The following is a 25,912-nucleotide window of genomic DNA, read 5'->3' on the forward strand; positions in this document are numbered from 1 at the left end:
ATTATTTAAATATCTTTCTACCCCTTCAGCTTTAAATGTAAGGAAACGGGCTCAGAGAAGTCATATAGTGAATTGTAATAATAGCTCCTATTCTGTGTGTGAGGCTCTGCCCTGGGCACTGTGTGATTTTGAATCCTGGCTACAACCATGCAGCATGAGACTTATTGTGTAGAATAGATGCTCCAGGCCTCAGTTTGCCTCAGTGGGTTGACTGAGGATTAAATGAAATAATCCATGTAGAGGGGCTTCTCAGATCCTGGCACATCATAACTGCTGAGTAGGTGATGACTGCAGGGGAGGGGAGGATCCGAGGTTTTTTTTTTTTTTTTTTTTTTTGAGACGGAGTCTCGCTGTGTTGCCCAGGCTGATGCACTTAGATCCTCGGCCGGGTGCGGTGGCTCAAGCCTGTAATCCCAGCACTTTGGGAGGCCGAGGCGGGCTTATCATGAGGTCAGGAGATCGAGACCATCCTGGCTAACACAGTGAAACCCCATTTCTACTAAAAATATAAAAAATTAGCCGGGCTTGGTGGCGGGAGCCTGTAGTCCCAGCTACTCGAGAGGCTGAGGCAGGAGAATGGCGTGAACCCTGGAGGCAGAGGTTGCAGTGAGCCGAGATGACGCCACTGCACTGGGCGACAGAGCGAGACTCCGTCTCAAAAAAAAAAAAAATACTAGGAATGTAAGTGAATATTTATTTCAAGTGAGAAACAGAGCTCTAACAATTTACACATTTTATCTTTTTTTTTTCTTTTTAAAAGTTTTTTTTTTTTTTGGCTGGGACCGGTGGCTCATGCTTGTAATTCTAGCACTTTGGGAGGCCGAGGCAGGCAGATCAACTGAGGTCAGGAGTTCAAGATGAGCCTGGCCAACATGGTGAGACCCTGCCTCTACTAAAAATGCAAAACTTAGCCAGGTGTGGTTGTGTACACCTGTAATTCCAGCTACTTGAGAGGCTGAGGCAGGAGAATCATTTGAACCTGGGAGGCGGAGTTTGCCATGAGCAGAGATTACACCATTGCACTCTGGCCTGGGCGACAAGAGACTGTCTCAAAAAACAAAATTTTTTTTTTTTTCTTTTGTAGAAATGGAACCTTGCTATATTGCCTGGGTTGGTCTCAAACTACTGGGCTCAAGCATTCCTCCCACCTCAGCTTCCCAAAGTGTCCGGGCCAGTTTACACATTTTAAAAGCCAACAAATACCTCAAACACTACACACTCCAGAAGAATAATAGGACATTTTTTCTTAATTTACTGCCTGACACACTTCTGTAGCACTTTTTATTCCTATATTATCCAGCTTCATACTCTTTGATCACTTCTTCATATGATAATGATTTTCTAAAATAATTTTCTGTAGAGCGAATAAAAGATAATTCAGTCTTTTCTCTAGCATGGGTGATCAAAATTTGCTTTTAGTTATTGATAGTCTAGACGCAAAAAATAAAGACATTCATAGACACAAACACTGTCTGTAGTATTACTACGTGTTTGTGTCTCTCAGAGGAATTTTAGTAAATTCAGTTTTGTGTTATTCCCACCAAAAATGAAAAAAGAATCTAAGGTGGGCCAGGCGTGGTGGCTCACGCTTGTAATCCCAGCACTTTGGGAGGCTGAGGCAGGTGGATCATGAGGTCAGGAGATCGAGACCATCCTGGCTAACACGGTGAAACCCCGTCTCTACTAAAAATACAAAAAATTAGCCGGGCGTGGTGGTAGGCACCTATAGTCCCAGCTACTCAGGAGGCTGAGGCAGGAGAATGGCGTGAACCCGGGAGGCGGAGGTTGCAGTGAGCCGAGATCGTGCCACTGCACTCCAGCCTGGGCGACGGTGCGAGAGTCTGTCTCAAAAAAAAAAAAAAAAGAATATGAGGTGCATTACAATTAAATGCACGTGTTAATAGAGTGTATTTCTTTTTTATTGTTATTATTTATTGAGGCAGAGTCAGGCTGGTCTTGCACTCCTGACCCCAAGTATTCCATCCACCTCGGCTTCCCAAAGTGCTGGGATGACAGGTGTGAGCCACCAAGCCTGGCCTAGTGGAGTATATTTCTGACAGACGAGAACTTCCATTTTGATTGACTCTTCACCTATTTTTCATGTCTAATAACGGGAAGCATTTTTCACAGGCGAGCATCTAACTATATACATTTTAAACCTTCCTTCTTCCCCACCACATCCTTCAGGATTGGGCCCTGTAGGATGTGTTCATATGGTGATACAACTTCTGATGAGGTGTCAGGACCTTGGTGGGGGGTACTTGCTACTGGAGTTTTACTGGGAGCTGTTCCTACCCTGGGAGGGTTAGCAATACTCAGCTTAATGATCTGCTAAACTCAATGTACCAGCGACTCAACTCCCATGTGCGTGCATCCCTGAATGCCCGTGGCCACTCTTAACGTCACACAACAGGAAGGGAGAAGGGGCAGAAGGGAGACTGGAGTGGAGAGAGATGGAGGTCTTTCCACTTGTGGTTAAAAGACTTGATGCTGGCAAATGTTAGAGAAACCAAAGACCATCCGATGGATGCTTTTCTTTCCGGGCCCTTTGCAAGACCTTGGAAGGGGCTGATCCAAGCAGGGATCCTGAAGCTTCAGCTGTGTTAGCCTCACGGTGGACCTGGTTAGTTATCACTTATATTCATGGTTCAGGGCAGTGTCATTTGAGAGCGAGCCGTGGAGCCCACTCAGGAGCTGCAGGCCTCGCTGGCATGTTAACATGCTCCATAAACCTTGGTTCCTCAGCAGGAAGCATGACACTATTAATAGTCTCCACCTCACTGGGAATATAAAGTCCACGAGGGCAGGCACTGGTCTGCTTATTGCTGTGTCCTTGGTGTATAGAACCCATGGGCCGCACTGAACATATGGTATGCTAGGTGTTGGGTGGCTACCCCCAAACTCTCAGAGAAAAGGAAACTGAGGCACAATGAGCTTACATACCTTCACTTGAAGCCAGACGTGTCCAGCTCCAAATTCCTTTTCCTGTACAACATGCTGCCCCTAGTCAACTGGATGGAGATCCGGGGTCTCGGCCTCCTTTCCTTCCTGCATATTCTCCCATGCAAACTGAACAAGCAGGGGAAACTTAGCCCACCTCTGAGTTCCTGAGATCATCATCTGAGTTATTCTCTCCCTTATGGATCTGAGAAGGAGTCCCTGGGATTTGTTCTGATCCATGGAATACATTGTTCTAGAGACTCTTTGGACTCCAACCTGAGTCCCTGGGAATGATGTGAGGTAGGAGATGTGGAAGAACAAAAATGAATGGTTTTGAGCCATAAAATAGTGAGCCTGAAAAACGAGTTTGGAAGATGAATGGCTTTGGGGCTTCTGGAACTTAGCAGGGGCTATCCTGGGAATTACTGACATTTCTGCCTCAGACCTCTGGGAGGCCACTGGTAAACCAGAGGCCACCCCCCTCCCTTCACAGGTCCATTGGATTCGAAGGGGTCCTCACACGAAGCAGGAAGTCACCCTGTATCTCAGAACTGTGGAGATCTCAGTCCGTGGTCATCTTGTCATACATGACATGGCAGGAGCCATGGTCCAGGGAACCAGGTGGCTGCCAACTTGCAGAACAGGCGACAAAACCCCAGCCTGGACCCCCAGACCATGCACTTCTCCCTTTGCCCTGCTTCTCCTCTGCCTGGTACAGGTTTCCAGCCAAGCTCTGCACCGGCTTCTATGTCTGTTTGTTTTCCTTAGAAGCTTCCTATAGAAAGCACCAGGTAAGGCTGAAGATGCTCACTTCCCCCTGTTGTTTAACAACGCAACTGGGATTTTGCAGCCTCTGCTTCCAGCCTAATTCTCCATTGAGCCCTGGGATAATATTTACACACAAATGCTGGCTCTAATCTCCACCCAGGAAAACACTAGCTGCTATTGAAAATCTTTTCACCCGTGATAGAAAGCAGAGCGGCCAGGCCTCACGCAGGCACCCTCGAGCTTCTCTGGAGAGTGTTAGGGAACAGCAAGTGTGTTTTATTTATATTTTTTTAAAGTCATCCCAGGGCTGTGTCCAGGCAACTGAGGGCCTGTCAAAGAACCGAATGTCTAATTCCCTTTAGAAAAAACAAAGGGATTAGGTGTCCCTGGGACTTTAACAAATGCATTGTTGGTGGTTTTGATTTAGGTTTCATTTAGGGAAGGCAAGTGCAGAAACGAGGATGCCAAAGATCCAGGCTACCAGTGTTGCGAAGATGCCTGGAGACAGGCATGCATAAAATGTTGGCGGGGATGTAAATTAGTGCAGCCTTTTGGAGGGAAATTTGGCAACATCTTTCATAAAAAATGAGCGTGACCTTTGATGCAGTAATTTCATGCTTTGTAAACTACACTACGTTAATAGTTGCACGTGTATACAAAAACCTATGTTAAAAAATGCTCACTGCAGTGACAAATAGGAAATCACCATGAATCTATCAGTAGGGGCCTGGTTTGATAAATTATATTTTATCCACAGAGTGGACTACTACATGGCCAGTAAAGAAAAGAACAAGGTGGGGCCGTGTGCGGTGGCTCAAGCCTGTAATCCCAGCCCTTTGGGAGGCCGAGACGGCGGATCACGAGATCAGGAGATGGAGACCATCTTGGCTAACATGGTGAAACCCCATCTCTACTGAAAATACAAATTAGCCGGGTGTGGTGGCGGGCGCCTGTAGTCCCAGCTACTCGGGAGGCTGAGGCAGGAGAAGCGTGAACCCAGGAGGCGGAGGTTGCAGTGAGCCAAGATGACACCACTGCACTCCAGCCTGGGTGACAGAGCGAGACTCCGTCTCAAAAAAAAAAAAAAAAAGAACAAGGTAGATTATAACAATGGCCAACATACATATAGCACTTACTGTGTACACACTAGTCTGAAAGTTCTATGTATTTTAGAATATCTGCACATTTATAATATTAACTCATTTGATTTTCTCAACAATTATCTGGTTACTATTACTAGAATTTTTTTAAATCAGGAAAGAGATGTTAAGTAACTTGTCTAAAGTCACATAGCTGGCGAGTCGGGGAGCTGGGCTTCAAGTCATCTGGCCTCAGGGTCTGGGTCAATAACCACTACCCAAATGCCTGTATGTACAGGCATGGAAAGATGCTTTTGACATATGATTAAGTGGAAAATTCAAGTAGCAGAGAAGTAGGAGCTTATCTTTTTCAGGTAAAAAGAAGCTGCATGTGTGCATGCCTACGTGAATATATTTTATATATTTGTAATAGTAAAGGTTCTGGAAAAATACGTGTTCAATCAGCAATTCTCAACCAGGAAGGGAGGTGAGATGGGCTACATAAAGAGGATTTTGGCTGGGGGCAGTGGCTCATGCCTGTAATCCCAATACTTTGGTAGGCCGAGGCAGGCTTGAGCCCAGGAGTTCCAGACCAGCCTGGGCAACATATTAAGACCCCATCTATAAAAGAAAAAAATTTTTGGCTGGGCGCAGTGCCTCACACCTGTAATCCCAGCACTTTGGGAGGCCGAGGCGGGCAGATCATGAGGTCAGGAGATCGAGACCATCCTGGCTAACACGGTGAAACCCTGTCTCTACTAAAAATACAAAAAATTAGCCAGGCTTGGTGGTGGGCACTTGTAGTCCCAGCTACTCGGGAGGCTGAGGCAGGACAATGGCGTGAACCCGGGAGGCGGAGCTTGCAGTGAGCTGAGCTTGTGCCACTGCACTCCAGTCTGGGTGACAGAGCGAGACTCCATCTCAAAAAAAAAAATAATAATAATAAATAATAAATAAAATAAGTGCAGTGGCACAATCTTGGCTCGCTGCAACCTCCATCTCTGGGGCTCAAGCAATCCTCTCATCCCAGTCTCCTGAATAACTGGGACTGCAGGTGCAAGCCACCACCCCTAGCTAGTTTTCATATTTTTGGTAGAGACGGGCTTTTGCCATGTTGCTCAGGCTGGCCTCGAACTCCTGGGCTCAAAGTGATCTACCTGCCTCAGCCTACCAAAATGCTGGGATTACAGGTGTGGGCTACTGCTTCCCGCCAAATTTCTTTTTTTTTTTTTTTGAGATGGAGTCTCGCTGTGTCACCAGGCTGCAGTGGTGTGATCTTGACTCACCAAAACGTCCGCCTCCGAGGTTTAAGCGATTCTCCTGCCTCAGCCTCTCAAGTAGCTGGGATTACAGGCATGCGCCACCACACCCTGCTAATTTTGTATTTTTAGTAGGGACGGGGTTTCACCATGTTGGTCAGGCTGGTCTCGAACTTCTGACCTCATGTGATCTGCCCGCCTTGGCCTCCCAAAGTGCTGGGATTACAGGGGTGAGCAATCATGCCCAACCATTTGGTTTTCTTTTCTAAATGGTCCTTTCAAAAGAAGACTTCCTGTTAATCGTGGGCTCAGAGTGACACTTTTGATTAACACCAAAGTAAGAGATGTGGAGCCAAGCCTAATAAGTCTTGCAATAAATTGGATGAAGGTAGACCAATTAATTGTTGTTCTGATTGGCTGAAGGGATCCTGAGATAATGACTCTTGTCCTCATTACCCTCTAGTCTTGCCTTCTCCTGGAAGCTTTGGCCCAGATGTTGGAAGAGTAATGTTGATTTTCTTGACATACAGCCCCTCCACATTCCATCTTCACTCCCATGCCCCCCTGCATTTAATGTGTTCATTTAATGCATTATTGCACCTCATGTAAATACCCCTGGTACTTTACTTGGGCTGTTGTTTAAACCACTGTCCCTTCAGGGTCATCCAGTAAAAACCGGACTCAGGCTGCCTTCCATTTGCAGGCACTTTACAATCTCCTAATCTTGTTCCCATTCATTATTTTGGTTAACGGGGTGGAGCCTTGTCACTTTAATGCAGGTTGTGCAATATCTCTTTCAAAGTAAAACTAAGCAGGGTCTTAGGAGAGGGTCTGATGAGGACAATGAGGGTTATCAAAATTTTAATCCCCATTTTTAAACCCCAGTGTTTAAACCTTGCTTTGTGAAGTGTAACCTATCACAGTGAATATAGAAAAATGACATAACAGCTTCTACTTACTGTGTCAGGTCAAAAAGCACCCAAAGTTTCCATGTGTTTTCTCAGTTTTGTTCTTGCAGCAAGTTTAGGGGGTACTTTTTTTTTAAATCTCCCATTATCTCCATAAGGAAGCCGAGGCTCCAGGAGACTAGGTAATGTCCTCAACAATACACGTGTGGAAAGTGGAAAATGGATTTCTCAACCAGGTTTGTGTATCTGTCTGCAATTCCCAGTGCTGAGCCTCTCAATGGATGAAATAATTGAGAAAAGAAAAAAAGTGTAACTCAAAAACCACCCCCCTAATAGATAGTAGTACTCATATACCATCTCCCTAACATACTGTTAGCAATTTAGGTTTATTTCCTTTGTGTTATGTATCTAAACAAAATGAAATTTAAAAAAACAACTTGGTAACTAGAGGATATGTAAAATGTTTATATCCTGTTTTGATTTTTTTTTGTCCTACTAACATTGTCATCGTAACCATCTTCCTTATTGCTTCGTGTCATCATTTTAAATGGTTGCACTCTATTTAGAGAGTGGTGGCCTTGGGGGAGAGATTCCTAGATGTGGAAATTGGTAGGTCCAAGAGTATAAATGTTTTTATGGTTTTTGATACACATTGCTAAATTGCTTTCTAAAAGATCTATTTTAATTTGCACTTCAATCAACAATTTTGAGAGTGTCATTTTCATCACATTCTTGCTGGCATTAGTTATTGTTAGAAAACGAAACCAAGGCCGGGTGTGGTGGCTCACGCCCGTAATCCCAGCACTTTGGGAGGCCAAGGTAGGTGGATCACGAGGTCTCAAGATCGAGACCATCCTGGCCAACATGGTGAAACCCCGTCTGTACTAAAAATACAAAGAAAATTAGCCAGGCGTGGTGGTGTGCCTGTAGTCCCAGCTCCTCGGGAGGCTGAGGCAGGAGGATGGGTTAAACCCGGGAGGCATAAATTGCAGTGAGCTGAGATGGCGCCACCACACTCCAGCCTGGGCGACAGAGCAAGACTCCGTCTTAAAAAAAAAAGAAAAAGAAAACAAGGCCAGGCATGGTGGCTCTGGCCTGTAATCTCAGCTCTTTGGGAAGCCAAGGTGGGTAGATCACTTGAGCTCAGCAGTTCGAGACCAGCCTGGGCAACATGGTAAAACCCTGTCTCTACAAAAAAATACAAAAATTAGCCAGACATGGTGGCACGTGCTTATAGGCCCAATTACTCTGGAGGGCTGAGGTGAGAGGATCATTTGAGCCTGGGAGGTGGAGACTGCAGTGAGCCACGATCACACCACTGCACTCCAGCCTGGGCAACAGAGCAAGACCATGTCTCAAAAAGAAAATGAAAACAAGAAAAAGTCCTAATATCTACCAAATTGTTCACAGTAGTTAGTGTCGAGAGTGGGCTGGGGCTGGTGAAGTGAGGAGGTGTCTATTTTCTTTTCTTTTCTTTTTTTTTTTTTTTTTTTTTGAGACAGAGTCTTACTCTGTCACCCGGGCTGGAGTGCAGTGGCATGATCTCCGCTCACTGCACCCTCCACCTCCAAGGTTCAAGTGATTCTCCTGCCTCAGCCTCCCGAGTATGTGGGATTACAGGTGCGTGCTACCACGCCCAGCTAATTTTTGTATTTTTTTAGTAGAGACAGGGTTTCACCATGTTGGCCAGGATGGTCTGGATCTCCTGACCTCGTGATATGCCCGCCTTGGCCTCCCAAAGTGCTGGGATTATAGGTGTGAGCCACCGTGCCCAGCCAGGTGTCTATTTTCTCCTGTATCTAATGTGGTATTATTAAAAATATTTTATTATAGGCACATATTACTTTTGTGTTTTTTATATATATACGTATATATATACACTTTTTTTTTTTTTTTGAGACGGAGTCTCGCTCTGTCGCCCAGGCTGGAGTGCAGTGGCGCCATCTCGGCTCACTGCAAGCTCCGCCTCCTGGGTTCACGCCATTCTCCTGCCTCAGCCTCCTGAGTAGCTGGGACTACAGGCGCCTGCCACCACGCCCGGCTAATTTTTTGTATTTTTAGTAGAGATGGGGTTTCACCATGTTAGCCAGGATGGTCTCGATCTCCTGACCTCGTGATCCACCCGTCTCGGCCTCCCAAAGTGCTGGGATTACAGGCATGAGACACCGTGCCCGGCCTGTCATATATATTTTAAACTTTATTTTGAAATAATTTGTCTCATAGAAAAGTTGCAAAAATAATGCAAAGAATTCCCTGTATACCCTTTGTAACACATATTTTTTTGTTTTGTTTTGTTTGTTTGTTGAGATGGAGTCTTGCTCTGTCACCAGGCTGGAGTACAGCGGCGCCATCTCGGCTCACTGCAACCTCTGCCTCCTGGGTTCAAGTGATCCTCCTGCCTCACCCTCCCAAGTAGCTGGGACTACATGCCCGCGCCACCATGCCTAGCTAATTTTTTGTATTTTTAGTAGAGACGGGGTTTCACCATGTTGGCCAGGATGGTCTTGATCTCTTGACCTCGTGATCTGTCCACTTCAGCCTCCCAAAGTGCTGGGATTACAGGAGTGAGCCACCGCACCCAGGCTGTGATACATATGTTTTTTTGAGATGGAGTCTCGCTCTGTCGCCCAGGCTGGAGTGCAGTGGCGCAATCTCTGCTCACTGCAAGCTCCACCTCCCGGGTTCACGCCATTCTCGTCCCTCAGCCTCTGGAGTAGCTGGGACTACAAGTGCCCACCACCACGCCCAGCTAATTTTTTGTATTTTTAGTAGAGACAGGGTTTCACCGTGTTAGCCAGGATGGTCTCGATTTCCTGACCTCGTGATCCACCCGCCTCGCCTCCCAAAGTGCTGGGATTACAGGCGTGAGCCACCATGCCCAGCCACTTATTTTTAAATATAAAGTAATTAAAATAAATGTTTTCTAAATGTCAGTCCTTACATCAACTTGTAAGTTGAGATTTCTTCATAGGTAGGCTAGGGCTCAACAGCAACTTGGGGAAATGCTTATTAAAAATGTAAACTCTTAGGCCTGAGCAAGACATCGAATCAGAATGTTTGGGGGTGAGCTTGGAAAATCTTTCAGTAGCCCTTCTCCTGCCCTCTGAGGCCCATCAGGGGCTGAGAACCAGTGTCAGACAGGTTCCTCTTTATTTCCTCCAGCAATATTGTGGCTTCTTCACCTTGAGAGCCCTCCAGTGTGCAAGGGTTTGGAAAAGTGAGTGAAATCTGAGCATCTTTGTTGTGACTTTTCCCACTTGGTGCTGCTACTGCTCTGCTCCAGCCAAGCTGTCTGTAATTTGTTTTCACAAGAGCCTGCTCTCTCCCTCAAACTAGAAAAGACCCCTCCACAGGAGGCCAGGTCCGGAACGCAGGTTTAGGTGGTGTAGGCCCTTCTCACCCTCACCCCTTCTGTCCTGAGTGTTCCAGGTGGATGCCAAGGAGGTGGAGGAGGCTTCCCTGTCTCCTGGCTCTCCTGGAGGAGCAACTGTGAGGCCCCGAGATGGGGAGGGAGCCCAGATTCTGGCTTTTGGTCTTCCTGCTGTTTCTTTTGTCTGATGCTGGTGCATTTCCATGGACAGTTTATTTCCCTTGGACACTGTGGGCTTGGTTTTTCCATGAGTGTGTGACGCTGTGGTCATTCACCAGGCCCTGTTGGTGGTCTCGGTGGGGGCCACAAGGCTCAGATCTCACCTGCCCCTTTTCCTACCTCCTCCACTCTTTGCTCAGCCATCAACATTCCTTTCTGTCCCAGAAGTGTTCTTTCCAAAATGCAGATCTGCCCATGTCCCCTAATGACGTCACTTATTGACTTCGCTATGGAAAAGGAGCGATGGGGAATGTGGCCGGAAGGACAGCAGAGAGCCAGACTGTGGAGACCTTTGAATTCCAGAGGAACAAAAGTATTTTGGGTGGCTCACACCTGTAATCCCAGCACTTTGGGAGACCAAGGCGGGCAGATCACCTGAGGTCAGGAGCTTGAGACCAGCCTGACCAACATGGTAGAACCCCATCTCTATTAAAAATACAAAATTAGCCAGGCAGGGTGGGGGGTGCCTATAATCCCAGCTGCTTGGAGGCTGAGGCAGGAGAATCGCTTGAACCCGGGAGGCAGAGGTTGCAGTGAGCCAAGATTGCACCAGTGCACTCCAGCCTGGGCAACAGAGTGAGACTTGGTCTCAAAAAAAAAAAAAAAAAAAAAAAGACCGGGCGCAGTGGTGGCTCACGCCTGTAATCCCAGCACTTTGGGAGGCCGAGGCAGGCGGATCACGAGGTCAGGAGATCAAGACCATCCTGGCTAACACGGTGAAACCCCGGCTCTACTAAAAATACAAAAAATTAGCTGGGCGTGGTGGCGGGTGCCTGTAGTCCCAGCTACTTGGGAGGCTGAGGCAGGAGAATGGTGTGAACCCGGAAGGCAGAGGTTGCAGTGAGTCCACATCATGCCACAGCACTCCAGCCTGGGCGACAGAGCAAGACTCCGTCTCAAAAAAAAAAAGTGTCTTATATAAAAATATATACATAAAATATAAAAATAGGCGGGGCACAGTGTCTCACACCTGTAATCCTAGCACTTTGGGAGGCCAAGGCGGGCAGATTGCCTGAGCTCAGGAGTTTGAGACCAGCCTGGGCAACACAATGAAACCCCATCTCTACTAAAATACGAAAAATCATCCGGGCATGGCGGCGGGCGCCTGTAGTCCCAGCTACTCAGGAGGCTGAGGCAGGAGAATCGCTTGAACCTGGGAGGCAGAAGTTGCAGTGAGCCGAGATCGCGCTACTGCACTCCAGCTTGGGTGACAGGGCGAGACTCCGTCTCCAAAAAAAAAAATATGTATACACACACACACACACACACACACAATATACAAAAAATATACTGTTTTATGTATAAACATACATAAAATATACATATACATGAAAACATACATATCAATATACATAAGTATATTATGGACTAATACAGGCAATTTGGAAAAAAAGAAAGTAGAAAGTAGGGGGAAAAAAGTTGCTAGTCGTTCTGCTAGCCAAGTAAAGCTGCTGGCTGCATTTGGGTGTGGTCGTGTGCAGGATAAGGGCACAGGCCCTGAATCAGGTGAGTCTGGGTTCAGATGCCTTCCTTCTTCCTTATTAGCTGTAGGCAACCATCGGGCAGCTTAATTATCCTCTGGGTGCTTCAGTTTTCTCATTGGTGAAGTAAGGATAAAAAAAAGTTCCTAATGTGTAGGCTTGCCTTGAAGATGAAATGAGGTAAGTATGGAAAGCAGTTAGCTGGCTGCTTCCTAAGTGTTAGTTCTGTTTAATCTTGTTCATTTCCTTTCAGTCCTTTTACTCTAAAGAGGGGTGTGTGTGTTTGGTTTGTTTTCACATAGTTGTGATCACATTGTCTATATAATTTTATTTACTGCTTGCTTAGCATAACATCTGTAGCCAAGCATTTTCCATGTTATTTTCAACTCCTCATAAACATGCATCTTAATAGTTGCATAATAATCCGATGGATGGATATATCATAGTTTAACCATTTCCTTATTGTTGGCCATAGGAATTGTTCCAGGTTTTCATTGTTACAGAAAACTCAAGGCATGACTGGGCATGGTGGCTCACGCCTGTAGTCCCAGCGCTTTGGGAGGCCAAGGCGGGTAGATCACTTGAGTAGATCAGGAGTTTGAGACCAGCCTGGTAAACATGGCAAAACCCTGCCCCGTCTCTACTAAAAATACAAAAATTAGCCAGGCCTGGTTGCAGGTGCCTGTAATCCCAGCTACACAGGAGGCTGAGACAGGAGAATCGCTTGGACCTGGGAAGCGGAGGTTGCAGTGAACCAAGATCAAGCCACTGCACTCCAGCCTGGGCGACAGAGTGAAACTCCATCTCAAAAAAAGAAAACTATAGGCATGAACACCTTTATGTGTCAGATATCACCAGCAAAACCAGCCCCACTTTTCCCAGCCTGTTAGAACAAGTTCCTTGAGAAAAATTCTTAGAAAGGATGTTACAAAGTCAAATTATATGAATATTTATCAAGATTTGTGACTTATCCTGCCAAATTCATTCCTGTAAAGTGAGTTCCCACTTCTATTTCCAAGACAGTGGATGAGACTGTGGCTGAGGGATGTGGATTTTGTTCTGCAGTGCTGCTGGTGAGGGCATGAGACCAGGGTTTTGATGGATTCATCCAGCAGCCATTGGGTGGGTGGCTGGGCAGAGTCGGCGTTAGGAGGCTCTCAGCGGTGACTTAACTATCTGCAAACCTGGCCCCATCCCCATGATGACTAGAGCTCCCATCCGTAGGAGAGGGAGGCCCTGTGGTCACAGTGTCACATTCCTTTTCAGTCCAGCATAAGCACTTTCACATTGTTTTTTCCCTCCGTGATTCAAATGACAAGAACTCTTCATCTTTAGGGATCACAGTATAAGACAGTGAATAAGTTCATGAGCCTTGGTGTTATCCTGCCTGGATTGGGATCTCAACTCTACTATTTATTAGCTGTGTGATTCTGGACCTCAGTTTCTCAATCTGAGACATGGTACTCACCTCCTAGGATTAAATTAAACAGGTATTTTATACACAACATAATAAGTGCTGAATGCTTCTTAGATCTTCTTATCTATCTCCCTCTTTCTAAATGAAAGCGCCTGGTTGAAAGAAACTAATTGAACCTCTGTATTCACCACTTTCCTCCTCTTGAAAATGCAACAAGGGAAGCTGTATAAAGAAACAATACTGGGCCAGGCGCGGTGGCTCACGCCTGTAATCCCAGCATTTTGGGAGGCCAAGGCGGGTGGATCACCTGAGGTCAGGAGTTCAAGACCAGCCTGACCAACATGGCAAAACCTCATCTCTACTAAAAATACAAAATTAGCCAGGGGTGGTGGCACATGCCTGTAATCCCAGCTACTGGGGAAGCTGAAGCAGGAGAATTGCTTGAACCCAGGAGGCAGAAGTTGCAGTGAGCCGAGATCGCGTCATCGCATTCCAGCCTGGGCAACAAAGAGCGAAACTCCATCTCAAAAAAAAAAAAAAAAGGAAAAAGAAACAATACCAGAAAGCCCATCTCTACATTGCTAGGCAACCTTTCCAAGGTGTGTACCCACCCTGAAACCATGGGGATGAAGGGAAGGAGGTTGGGAGGCTACAGTGGTGCATGACCAATCATCTCGGGACATGGTACTGTCAGTGCTAAGACTGGGACAGTCCCTGGCAAACCAGGAGTGTTAGTCACCCTGGCATGGTGAGAGTGGGTGAAGGATCTGGTAAAGTTGTCCAAGGGTGGGAGAACAAGACTCTGGAGCATTTGAGAAGGGTTTGCTTTTCCTTTAATTATTGTTTGGCAAATCCCCTTGAAGCTCATTTCACCTGCAACTTCTGGGAATGAATTGGCTGCCAAAAATAAGACCCACGTGGGGTGGGGGCAGGGGGGTAATTAAGTGCCTCCCAGGAAGCAGGGGCAAGGATACTTCAATATCTTCCAGATTCCTAGAGTGTGAATGATGTGAGCTTGCCTTGGGGTGAAGGCTGCTGGAGTCAGCTCTTTCCGATCCTGGCTAGTTTTCTGCTCCTAATAAAGGCTTCTTTCATGGCTGGGCAAGAGGAAGACTCAGATGGCCCTCCGTGGACAAGGGTTGGTTCCCGAATCTGTCCCAGGTAACTTCTTGTTCCTCTGGGTCTCTGTGTGTAATATCCCCAGAGACAGAGGCCAAGAGAGGGGAAAGTGACTACACTTACACTGCAGGCCAGCGGAGGGGGTGGTCAATAGCTGGTACTTCCTCTTCCAGCTCTTTTAAAGCATTTTAAAATTGGATTAGTGTTTCAACAAACACTTGAAGGTTTGCTTTCCTCGGAGAGGCCCGAAGGGCTGAGGAAGAGCCTTCATCTGTTTACTTTTTCTTTATGTGGAAATCTACTTGGGCTGTTTCTACAACTAGCTTGCCCCTCTCCCTTGGTGCCCCCTCCACCAGGTAAACCTCACCCCCTAACTTCCAGGCAGGTCTGCATTCACCCTCAGGGCCCTGGCCCACCATGGCTTTCTGGGTTGGCTGAATCCTCGTGCCCTCCAGGAGCACTTTGGAGCAGCAGGGCTCAGGCAGCTCTCTCTGACCTGTGCCAGCCTTGAAAGTTTTCCTGGAATGAAGAAGTGAGCTGACAGTGGACAGTCCTGTGTACTTCATCTGCTTCTTGCAGGGAAACCAACAGAAGCGGTCTCTTTCCTCCTGTGGGTAGAGAAAGCCAGGAAGATGGGGCAAAGCCTTGGGAAAACAGGTGGCTCTCAGCCCCACCAGAGCTCTTTGTCCTCATCCTTTTTATTTAAGCCCCTGCTTGGAGCCAGGCAGTGTGTGTGTGTGAGAGAGTTGTGCAAACAGATATGTGCATGGATGTATGTACAGAGGAAAAAAAGACTGGGGCAGGGCATTGTGGAGCTCTGAAAGGGAAGGAGGGCAGGCGGTCAAAGTAGACTTCTATGTTTTATTCTGTGTATTAGTATATTATATATGAACACATTTAAAGTACATATTGAATAATAAGAGAATTATCCTCTGAGATCCATGTGATCACTGTTAACTGAAGTACAGGGTCAAGCCTTGGAAGATTCAGGAATGACTTCCCAGAGGAGGTGGCGGGCAAACAGAGATCACAGGATAAGTGGAGGTAGCTGGATTCATTTTATAGACATTTGTTGAGTGTCTGTTGTGTGTCAGATACTATTTTTTTTTTTATTTTTTTTGAGATGGAGTCTCGCTCTGTCTCCCAGGCTGGAGTGCAGTGGCATGATCTTGGCTCACTGCAACTGCCGCCTCCCGGGTTCAACTGAGGCAGGAGTGCCTCAGCCTCCCGAGTAGCTGGAACTACAGGTGTGTACCACCACGCCCAGCTAATTTTTGTATTTTTAGTAGAGACGGGGTTTCACTGTACTGGTCAGACTGGTCTTGAACTGACCTTGTGATCTGCCTGCCTCGGCCTCCCAAAGTGCTGGGATTACAGGCGTGAGCCACTATGCCCAGCCCCAGATACTATTTTAGAAGCAAAGGATCTAGCAGAGAATAAACACATAAAGATCTTGCCATTGTGGAACTTACAGTCCAGTGGAGGGAGAAAGATGAACAAAAAGATCATATGATGTCAGGTGGTATTAAAGAAGAATTAACACTTATGGTAAGGAAGACTTTATTCAAGACTATTGCAACAGGAGTTGACTTTTTTTCTTTTTTTTTTCTTTGAGATGGAGTCTCTGTCACCCAGGCTGGAGTGCAGTGGTGCGATCTCGGCTCACTGCACCCTCTGCCTCCCAGGTTCAACCGATTCTCCTGCCTCAGCCTCCTGAGTTGCTGGGATTACAGGCACATACCACCACACCTGGCTAATTTTTGTATTTTTAGTAGAGATAGGGTTTCACCATGGTGGTCAGGCTGGTCTTGAACTCCTGACTGACCTCAGGTCATCCACCCTCCTCATCCTCCCAAAGTGCTGAGATTACAGGCATGAGCCATTGCACCCGGCCTAGGAGTTAACTTTTGCAATAGAGGAAGGAGGTTGAGTTCATCACTGAATCCAGCAAAGACCTAGTTGGGCATTTATAATCAGAGTGAGGGGGTCATTGGGTGGAAAATCACTAAGAGAAGACACGAAGGGTAGGGGAACTCTTGCTAAACCAACTCAACAGGATTCTGTGGAAGGCAGGCCAAGGACTTACACATTAAAAGTGGGGGATGAGGAACTTGGTCAGATATTGAGGGTGGGGGAATGACTCAGCTGAATTATTTGCTAAAGGCAGGCCACATGAAGAAGAGGATCTAGAGGAGCCTGTCTAAAGTTTGGTCAAGGAGAGAGTCTTTGTTGGTGCTGTGAAGCAAATGAAGCAGCTGTGGGATAGTGAGGCTACAGAGTGACAGGTTAGGCCCTTTTTTTGTTTTTGAGATGGGTGTCTTCTTCTGTTGCCTGAGCTGTGGTGCAATGGCTTGATCATAGCTCACTGCAGCCTCGAACTCCTGGGCCCAAGCAATCCTCCTGCTTCAGCCTCCTTACTAGCAGGGACAACAGGCACCTGTCATTGTGTTTGGCTCATAGGGGTGCTTTTTAAATTTAATTTAGTTTTATTTTTGAGGTGAAGTGTTCACTGTGTAGCGACACGATCTCGGCCCACTGCAATCTCCGTCTCCCAGGTTCAATCAATTCTCCTGCCTCAGCATTCTGAGTAGCTGGGATTACAGCCGTCCTCCACCACGCCTCACTAATTTTTGTATTTTTAATAGAGACAGGGTTTCACTATGTTGGCCAGGCTGGTCTTGAACTCCTGACCTCAAGTGATCCACCCGCCTTGGCCTCCCAAAGTGTTGGGATTACAGGCGTGAGCCACCGCACCCGGCCTGCAGTGCTTTTTAATACTCAGTGTTAGCAAGGTCTTTAGGGCTGAAATCTGGATCATGTGTCAGAGCCAGACTTTCAAATGGCCCCCCTAGAGGGTGTGTTCTGGGTAAAGGAAACAGCCTGTACAAAGGCCCTGAGGGGTGTGTTCAGTGTGTTTGAGCAACAGTGAGGAGGAGGGGGTTTGTAGGGGAAGAGTGATAGGAAATAAGGTTGAAGAGGGTGGGGTGAGAGTAGATCATGCAGGCCTTATAGGATGTGATAAAAAAGGATGAGAAAGAAAGCTGGGAGGAAGGATAATTTGGATTTAGGGTAAGGGACAGCGTTGCTCATCTACAGGACCACAAGGGGTTCTGTGCTGCAGGGGCATAAGAAGGAGCATGTGCCATGTGGGGAATGCAGGGAAGCAGGGCAGAGGGACGTAGGAGAGGAAGATTAAGAGCCAAGGGGGAGGGGCAGGCAGGCAGGTCCTTTTCCATCTTTTCAGTCAGGGTTTCTCAATCATTTTAATGAGAGCCTCAGCCCTTGCGTAAAAATCAAGCAATAAAGGGAGGAATGCCTCTCTGTTTAACTTGAAGGAGAGCTACAGAAGATGGAAAAGAGGGTTAGTTGAAATAAAGTTGGAGCTGATCTCGCTTGGCTGGCTGCCCTTTCTATAAATATCGCCCTCCCAGTCCTGGAAATGCAGCAGTTAGGGTCCTTGTGAGCTACTGAGGAACATCCTTCCTGTTCAAATGCCCAGGACTTGGCTGCCTGTGCACTTCCATATGCAAAGTGCCTAGAAGCTGGGGAGAGGGAGAGTGCAGGGTCAAAAGTGGGGAATTCTGAGCCCACTCCTTTTACCCCCTGGGGGTGGCCTCACTTCCTCTGGGGGCTCTGACAGCTCTCTGGCCTGTCTTCAGCTTAGAAATCTGCAAAAGTCATTGGCCAGGCTCAGGAGAACTAATCCTTTGTGCCAGAGGTATGGTGGTATGGTGGGGAGCTAGCTCCTCGCTGGTGCTGAGCCCTGCTGCCCCTGGGGTTTTACTGGGAGAGAGGGAGAGGGTGGAGGGGCTAGTGTAATTCGGCAATTTGTGAGTTAAAAAGCAGATGAGAACCCACAGAGTAACGAGACATTCTTCTCTTTGCATGCAAGATTCTGCTGAATGTTGGAAGAGGAAGGAATATTTTTCTTGCTTTTCAGACATGACATCCTGTGAGGGGAAGATTTGGAACAGATGGGGGCCAGGGGAGCCTCACTGTATTTGCTTGTTTCACCACCACCTCCTCCCTCCCACAACCAGAAATGTCTTTTTCTTCCCGCCTAGGGAAGTTAATGTAAAGGCAGGTAGGGGGGATGTCCTGTAGATTAGGAAAGTAAGTTATCAGGGGTCAGGGAAAAATAATCCATTAGGTTTCCAGAAAGAATCCACTTTTCATTGCAGTCTCCTTCTAGGTCCAAAGATAGACAACTAACTCAAAATTGTATCTTCGCTTTAATCACTGCTCTGGTGATATTTGCATTAATGAAAGAGAAAAGAAAGCATCCCCAACAGATGGAAAAGGCGGCTCTCTGACTAGTGAAAGGTAAGGAATTTTTCTGAAATCTTGGGTGCACAATGTGGGAAAAACAAAATTGGTAATGTCTCATGGGATCAGCGCAGGCATCTGCACAGTTTTCACTCCGACTTCTGTCTGTCAGATTGACTGCATTAGAGAAGACCGTAAATGTGGTGATGGAAGTGGGCTGTGACACACTTGACTGGCTGTAGCAGTGTTCCTGGTAGAGCCACATTCCCAGCACAGCTGTGGGTAGCTGGGCAGCTAGTATGATGTTAGTCCCCAAATCACAGCCGATTCTTTCTGCTGTCAAATATACAGCCCCTGAGCCCCCTTCCCCTGAACCTGGAAGGGGGTTCTGCTGGTGAAGTCAGATGGCCTTGTTAGCCAGGGTGGGCCAGTCTAACTGCCTGTTGCATCTTGTCTGTTCCCCAAAGACAGCTTGGCTTGATGTGATGTGAAAAGGATGGGGCAGAAGGAGAAGGGGACAGATTCTGTGCTTTCCTTCTGTCGTTCTTTTTTGGCTGGTGGGAGCCTGTGTTGTTTTTCTCTTCCTTCGTAGGAGGGGATTTTGAGTTCTGGGGTCTGGCTGAGGAGACACGTGCCAGAGTGTCTGGCCCTTTTGGGTCAGGCTGCCTGACTCTGGCACACAGTTCTGGAAGGATGTCCTGGAGAGCTGGTTTACTGAGGCAACAGCTGCAAGCTAACTAGGGAAAGAGAAGAGGAAAGTACTAGGTTGCTGTGTGCTCAGGATCCCCGGTTGAGATATGGAGAATTATGTCTGGGGAACAAAACCTAACAGGCTGTCCTCATCACATGAGATATGTTCCCAGGCTGGAGTGCAGTGGCGTGATCTTGGCTCACTGCAGCCTCTACTTCCTGGGCTCAGGAGATCCTCCCACCTCAGCCTCCCAAGTAACTGGGACTACAGGCACGTGGCACACCCCATGCTTGGTTCTTTCTTTCCTTTCTTTTCCTTCTTTTCCTCCCTTCCCTCCCTTCCCTTTCCTTCCCTTTCTTTCCCTTTCCTTCCCTTTCCTTCTCTCCTTCCTTCCCTCCTTCCTTCCCTCCTTCCTTCCTTCCTTCCTTCCTTCCTTCCTTCCTTCCTTCCTTCCTTCCTTCCTTCCTTCCTTCCTTCCTTCCTTCCCCAGGCTGGAGGCTGGAGTGCAGTGGCACAATCTTGGCTCACCGCTGAGATCAAGCAGTTCTCCTGCCTCAGCCCCCTGAATAGCTGGGACTACAGTTGTGCACCACCGTGCTTGGCTGATTTCTTTTTGGTATTTTTAGAGATGGGGTTTCACTATGTTGGCCAGGCTGGTCTCAGAACACCTGACCTCAAGTGATCCACCCACCTTGGCCTCCCAAAGTGCTGGGATTACAGGTGTGAGCCACTACGACCGGCTGTCTGGCTTTTTTTTTTTTTCTGTATTTTTACTAAAAATGGAGGGGGCGGGGTTTGCCGTGTTGCCCAGGCAGGTCTCGAACTCCTGGGCTCAAGTGATCCACCTGCCTCAGCCTACCAAAGTGCTAGGATTGCAGGCGTGGGTCACTGCACTCGGCCAAGGAAAGACATAGTTGAAAAATCACTTGCTGGCCAAGCACGGTGGCTCATGCCTGTAATCCCTGTACTTTGGGAGGCTCAGGCAAGTGGATCACCCGAGGTTGGGAGTTTGAGACCAGCCTGACCAAAATGGTGAAACCTTTCCTCTACTAAAAATAGAAAATTAGCTGGGCATGGTGGCAGGCGCCTGTAACCCCAGCTACTTAGGAGGCTGAGGCAGGAGAATCGCTTAAACCCGGGAGGCAGAGGTTGCAGTGAGCTGAGATTGCACCATTGCACTCCAGCCTGGGCAACAAGAGTAAAACTCCATCTCAAAAAAAAAAAAAAAAAAAGGTCTCTTGCTAACAGAGTAATGTGGCCTGTGTGCCTAGCTAGGATGAGATTTCCCATCTTGATTCTTTACTCTTCTAACAACTAGACAATGTAAACTTGATACATTTAGTGGGAGCTCTAGGCTCTCCCTCTCTTCTCTGTTGTTACAGTTCCCATAGGCATGTTATCTGCCCATTGGAAAGGACGATGGAAAAACAAAAAACCTGTCCTGGACCCTGCAGTTAGGACTTCAGGGGACACATGAGTGAATATAAATAATACAGGTCCGCTCCCATAGAACCCAAATGTAAATATAAGAACATTTAACTCGTAGTGGACTTTCTAGGGTCAGGCAAGGATATAAGCAACAGACATAATTAGTTAATTCAAGAAATATTAATTGAACCCTCACTATTTGCTAGTCCCCATGGATACAGTGAAGAATGGACAGACACAGCCCCACCTTTCTGGACCTGTGGTCTTGTGCTGTGTATGCAGACTTGTAGACAGGCTTTTGCGATACACTCTGTGAGAGGTGCTGAGATACAGGACATAAGAAGAGTTGTGGGCTTTTATGGAGTGGGGGGAATCGGGAAGACCTGCCCAGAGGAAGTGATGTTGAAGTTAATCCACGAATAAGCAGAGTTGACATTGAATGTTTATGCTTAGTTGACCTGCTACAGGCCTTTGGTCCTGGTATAATTTTTATTTGCACCATCTTTTACTCTGAAAAGTGCCTGGTTTGGATGGTGAGCTCTTTGGTGCCCTAACTATGTGCCAGGCATTGCTCCAGGAGCCCCATCATAAGAATAGCCCTGGCTCATAGTGAGTGAGTAAAACTGAGCTGTTTGCCAGTCACATGATTTATGTCATTCAGTCCTGAGCTGGGCCCTATTTTATTAGTTAGGGATGCTTTGGGCTGCAAATAAGGGGAAACTCTGTGAACAGCAGCTTTAATCAGACTGGTGTTTATTTTATTTTATTTTATTTTTTGAGGCGGAGTCTCACTTTGTCCCCCAGGCTGGAGTGCAGTGGCGCGATCTTGGCTTGCTGAAACCTCCGCCTCCCAGGTTCAAGCGATTCTCCTGCCTCAGCCTCCCAAGTAGCTGGGACTACAGGTGCGTGTCACCATGCCCAGCTAATGACAGGGTTTTACTATGTTGGCCAAGATGGTCTCGATCTCTTTTTTTTTTTTTTTTTTTTTTTTTTTTGAGATGGAGTTTTGCTTTTGTTGCCCAGGCTGGAGTGCAATGGCATGATCTCAGCTCACCGCACCCTCCACCTCCACCTCCCCCTCCCCCTCCCAGGTTCAAGCGATTCTCCTGCCTCAGCCTTCCCAAATAGCTGGGATTATAGGCATGTGCCACCAAGCTCCGCTAATTTTGCATTTTTAGTAGAGATGGGGTTTCTCTGTGTGGATCAGGCTGGTCTGGAACTCCTGACCTCAGGTGATCCGCCCACCTTGGCCTCCCAAAGTGCTGGGATTACAGGTGTGAGCCACCGCGCCCGGCCAAAGGACTGCTGCCTCCTCCTCAGGGAATCGAACCCCAGTCTCCCGCGTGACAGGCGGGGATACTCACCACTATACTGATGAGGACGACAGTCTTGATCTCTTGATGTCGTGATCTTCCCGCTTCGGCCTCCCAGAGTGCTGGGATTGCAGGCATGAGCCACCGCACCCAGCCTCCAAATTACCTTTTTAAACAAGCTTTTTCTTATAAAATGTTCACTGTAATCTATTAAAAGTAAAAGGCAAAATACAAGTTAATGTTAACGTTTTGATCAAAATTATTTCAAAACTAAAGAAATAACATTTTGAAAATTTAATCTTAGTTTTACTTCAATGAGATATTTAATACCTGAAATTCCAGTGCTTAATGTCCATTTAATTTCCAAAGAAAAGAATTGGCATTGGCTGGTGCAGTGGCTCGTACCTGTGATCCTAGCATTTTGGGAGGCAGAGGCAGGCAGACTGCTTGAGCTAGGAGATCAGCCTGGGCAACGTGGTGAAACCCTGACTCTAACAAAAATACAAAACTTAATCGGGCATGGTGGTGAGCGCCTGTAGTCGCAGCTACTTGGGAGGCTGAGGTGGGAGGATCACTTGAGTCCAGCAAAAAAAAAAAAAAAAAATCGGTGTTATTGGTATTATGCATCCTTCAAGTTTTATTTTATAAATATATTTCCCATATCTATGTGAGATAATGTATCTGCATTTATGATACATATGTATGCAATGTGATATAATTTTGCAAAATATCCCTCTGCCACCATGTGCAACTGGTGCTAATTTAGTAGCACTGATTTGTGAGTCCTCTGGAACCATGAATAGGAACAGAAGCAAAAAAATGGATATTCAGTTCTCCTGAATATCCTATTCATGCTCCTATTCATTTTGCAAGAATGTATTGCATTTGTGCTGAGAGGAAGGATTTGACAAGCTAATTTGTCTTTTCTTTTCCCTAAGTGCTCTACCACTCCAATCCTTCCCACACTCCACTGCAGCATTGGTCTCTGGTGTTGGCAGTGGCATAATCCACAAACCTTCTTATTTAGACACAGTTACCTTTTGTTTTGAGGGGACAGGGGAAGAGGTGTGAAGTGTTTCTCTGGGGCCTGACTGGTGTTAGGTGTTACTTGTGCTAGGTGTTACTTGTGACAACATCATGCCGTGTGACCCTCGATGACAGAGGTGCCCACGTGTTGTTTAACTTTTACGCATGTGTTTGAAATAGGTGGGACCCTGAAGCACAGGGCCCAGGGCAGGGGCCTCTCTTGTCTGGTTCTAAGGGCAGTACTCTTGTTTTCCAGAAACCCTCAGTAGGCTTCCTTTTACATTTCATTAGATAGAATTAATCACTGCCAGAAAGAAGGTAAATTTCTGTAACTTCCTTCTGCCAATCATGAGTCATTCTCTGGGATGAGCACATGGTCTCTGGACAAAATTGGGGTTCTGTTAGTGAGGAAGAAGAAATGGCTGGACAGTCAACCAGTGATATCTCCACAATTATTATTCCCATTTTTTTGAAGGGGAAATTGAAGCTTAGAATGGTTAAGGTTGTATACCTGGAAGTGGTGGAACTGTGGTTTGAACCAAGGAAGGTTGGCTAAGGAATCTAACTTAACCACTCTACTTGCTGTTTCCCATGGCTGAGGAGCAGGAGTTAGCTGTACTGGAGTTTGAGAAAATCCCAGGCAGAGGAAATAGCATGTGCTGCAGCCCAGAGAAGCAAGGGGTGGCATGGTCTCACTGCAGATTGAGAGATGCCGAGTGACTCAAGTCTGTTGTGTGAGGGGAGTGCTGGGAGATGAGGCTGGAGAGGGTGTGCATCTGGGGCTGCTGAGTGGAGATGGGAGGGGACAAGATTGGGAATGGCATGGGCTGGAAGACTGTTGAAAGATTTTACTAGGGAAGAGATCCAGGTAACCTGAAATAGGAGAGGCAGAAGGGAAGGCATGCAATCAAGAGAGATTTAGAAAGCAGAATTGGGATTTGATGATATGAAGGTGGAGGAGAATCACCTGAGTTTATGGCTTGGAAATGGGTTACCATTCAGAAACAGAAGGCAGTGTTACCAGTGGAAGGTCTTGACCATGAGTTGTCCAGGTTCTTGGCATTTTGAACAAAGAATTGGACAACACACACAAAGCAATGAAAGAATGAAGCAATGAAAGCACAGATTTATTGAAATGCAAGTACACTCCACAGAGTGGGAGTGGGCTGGAGCAAGCCCTGGTTACAGAATTTTCTGGGGTTTAAATACTCTCTAGAGGTTTCCCATCGGTTACTTGGCTACAACCTATGTCAATGAAGACTTGGTCCATGACCAGTCTGTTTGGTTGTGGGAGGTGACCAATTAGAGGCTGAAGTGAAGTTACAGAGTTACAACCTATGCAAATGAAGACTTGGCCAGGGACCAGTCTGATTGGTTGTGGGAGGGGACCAATCAGAGGTGCTTTCCATTTTTCATTTGCAATGCAGAAAGGGGGTGGGGTTGCAAAAGGAGTAGCCTCTGATCCTTTTGTTACTTGGGCGTAGAGAGGTAAGATTTTCCTTTTGATTCAGTTCTAGGAAGTCAGCACAAATCAGCCTTAGGTTCCCTACCTTCAGACCCTATTCTCCTGCCTTAACAGTACCAGGTGAGGGCATAGGGGAGAAGGAGTCCACTTTTTATTTTTTGAGTCTCATTTTGGACATGTTGAGTTCAAGGACATAGAGTGGAGCTGTCCTGTAAACATTAGAGTCTGAAACTCAGGAGAGACATCTGGACTAGAGAGAAATGTGGGCTGCTTCAACACGTAGAACCCCTGGGTTCCATGGTGGGTGAGAGTGTGTAACACATGAAAAGAGAGTCTAGGACAGAGCCGTGTTTAAGGAAAGGAGGCCCACAGAGGAAACCGAGAAGACATGCCTCACATAGAAGAAGCCAGGAGAATTTGGTGACACTAACACTGAGGAAAGGGAGTTTTAAGCAGGAAAGAAAGATAAGGCCTGAGAAGTACCACAAAGGTCATTGATGATGACAGCAAGAGTGTGACAGCCAGATAACAGAAGGTTGATGGGAATGTAGCTCCTTCATTCAAGATATTAAATATGAAGGGAAGGGTATGTGAGGATCCAGGAAAGCTTTTTTTTTAAAAAAAACAAAACAAAACAAAACAAAAACCATGCAGGAAGATTGGAGCATGTTAAATTGCTTCTGAGAGGTAGACTTCTGGTAGAACAGAAGTTGAAGATAGAGACGAGGTGGGTAGTGGAAAGTGTGAGGACCTGAGAAGGTGGGGAAGAGTATGGGATCCTGACTCAGATAGAAAGAGGACTCCCATTGGAACAGGTAGAGTAGAGACCAGGAGAATGGGTGGGACTGGGACATTGAGGAACTTCCTTTAAGATGGTTTGTTTCCTATATAAAGTAGCTGCAAGAGAGGGAGTGGTGGGTCAGATGTTTAGGGAAGTTGAATTGCAATTGTCTCCTGTAAGGACAGGAGAGCTGAGTGGGGAGCAGGGCTGGCTTCATGAGTGGGCAGCTTGAGCAGTCGCACGGGTCCCTACACTTAAAAGGGCTTCTTGCTTTGTATAATGCTCTGGCATCACTGTCTTGAAATTGTTAATGATTTTTGAACACAGGCCGCTTCATTTTCATATTTGTTTTGAGTGTAAGTGTGTCCCATGCAATATCTGG

General features: G+C 46.7%; 1 long non-coding RNA gene across 1 annotated transcript in view, besides 3 other annotated features; it reads left to right on the plus strand.

The window, feature by feature from the left end:
- The window catches only part of SPRY4-AS1 (SPRY4 antisense RNA 1), a 138,762-nt gene that overhangs the window by 46,876 nt on the left and 65,974 nt on the right, over positions 1 to 25,912 (plus strand). The window lies entirely within an intron of this gene.
- Positions 16,438 to 16,939: an enhancer, noted in NCBI's record as "H3K27ac hESC enhancer chr5:141768171-141768672 (GRCh37/hg19 assembly coordinates)". NCBI's record gives its function as "activates a minimal SCP1, AML or CMV promoter by ChIP-STARR-seq in naive H9 embryonic stem cells {active_cell/tissue: H9 hESC(naive)}" and the evidence as "EXISTENCE:reporter gene assay evidence [ECO:0000049][PMID:30033119]".
- Positions 19,822 to 20,501: an enhancer, noted in NCBI's record as "H3K4me1 hESC enhancer chr5:141771555-141772234 (GRCh37/hg19 assembly coordinates)". NCBI's record gives its function as "activates a minimal SCP1, AML or CMV promoter by ChIP-STARR-seq in primed H9 embryonic stem cells {active_cell/tissue: H9 hESC(primed)}" and the evidence as "EXISTENCE:reporter gene assay evidence [ECO:0000049][PMID:30033119]".
- Positions 25,076 to 25,370: a silencer, noted in NCBI's record as "tiled region #12170; HepG2 Repressive non-DNase unmatched - State 7:EnhWF". NCBI's record gives its function as "represses a minimal TATA promoter and a strong SV40 promoter by Sharpr-MPRA in HepG2 cells {active_cell/tissue: HepG2}" and the evidence as "EXISTENCE:reporter gene assay evidence [ECO:0000049][PMID:27701403]".

The sequence above is a fragment of the Homo sapiens genome, chromosome 5, assembly GCF_000001405.40.
Source record: "Homo sapiens chromosome 5, GRCh38.p14 Primary Assembly".
NCBI classification, from domain to species: domain Eukaryota; kingdom Metazoa; phylum Chordata; class Mammalia; order Primates; family Hominidae; genus Homo; species Homo sapiens.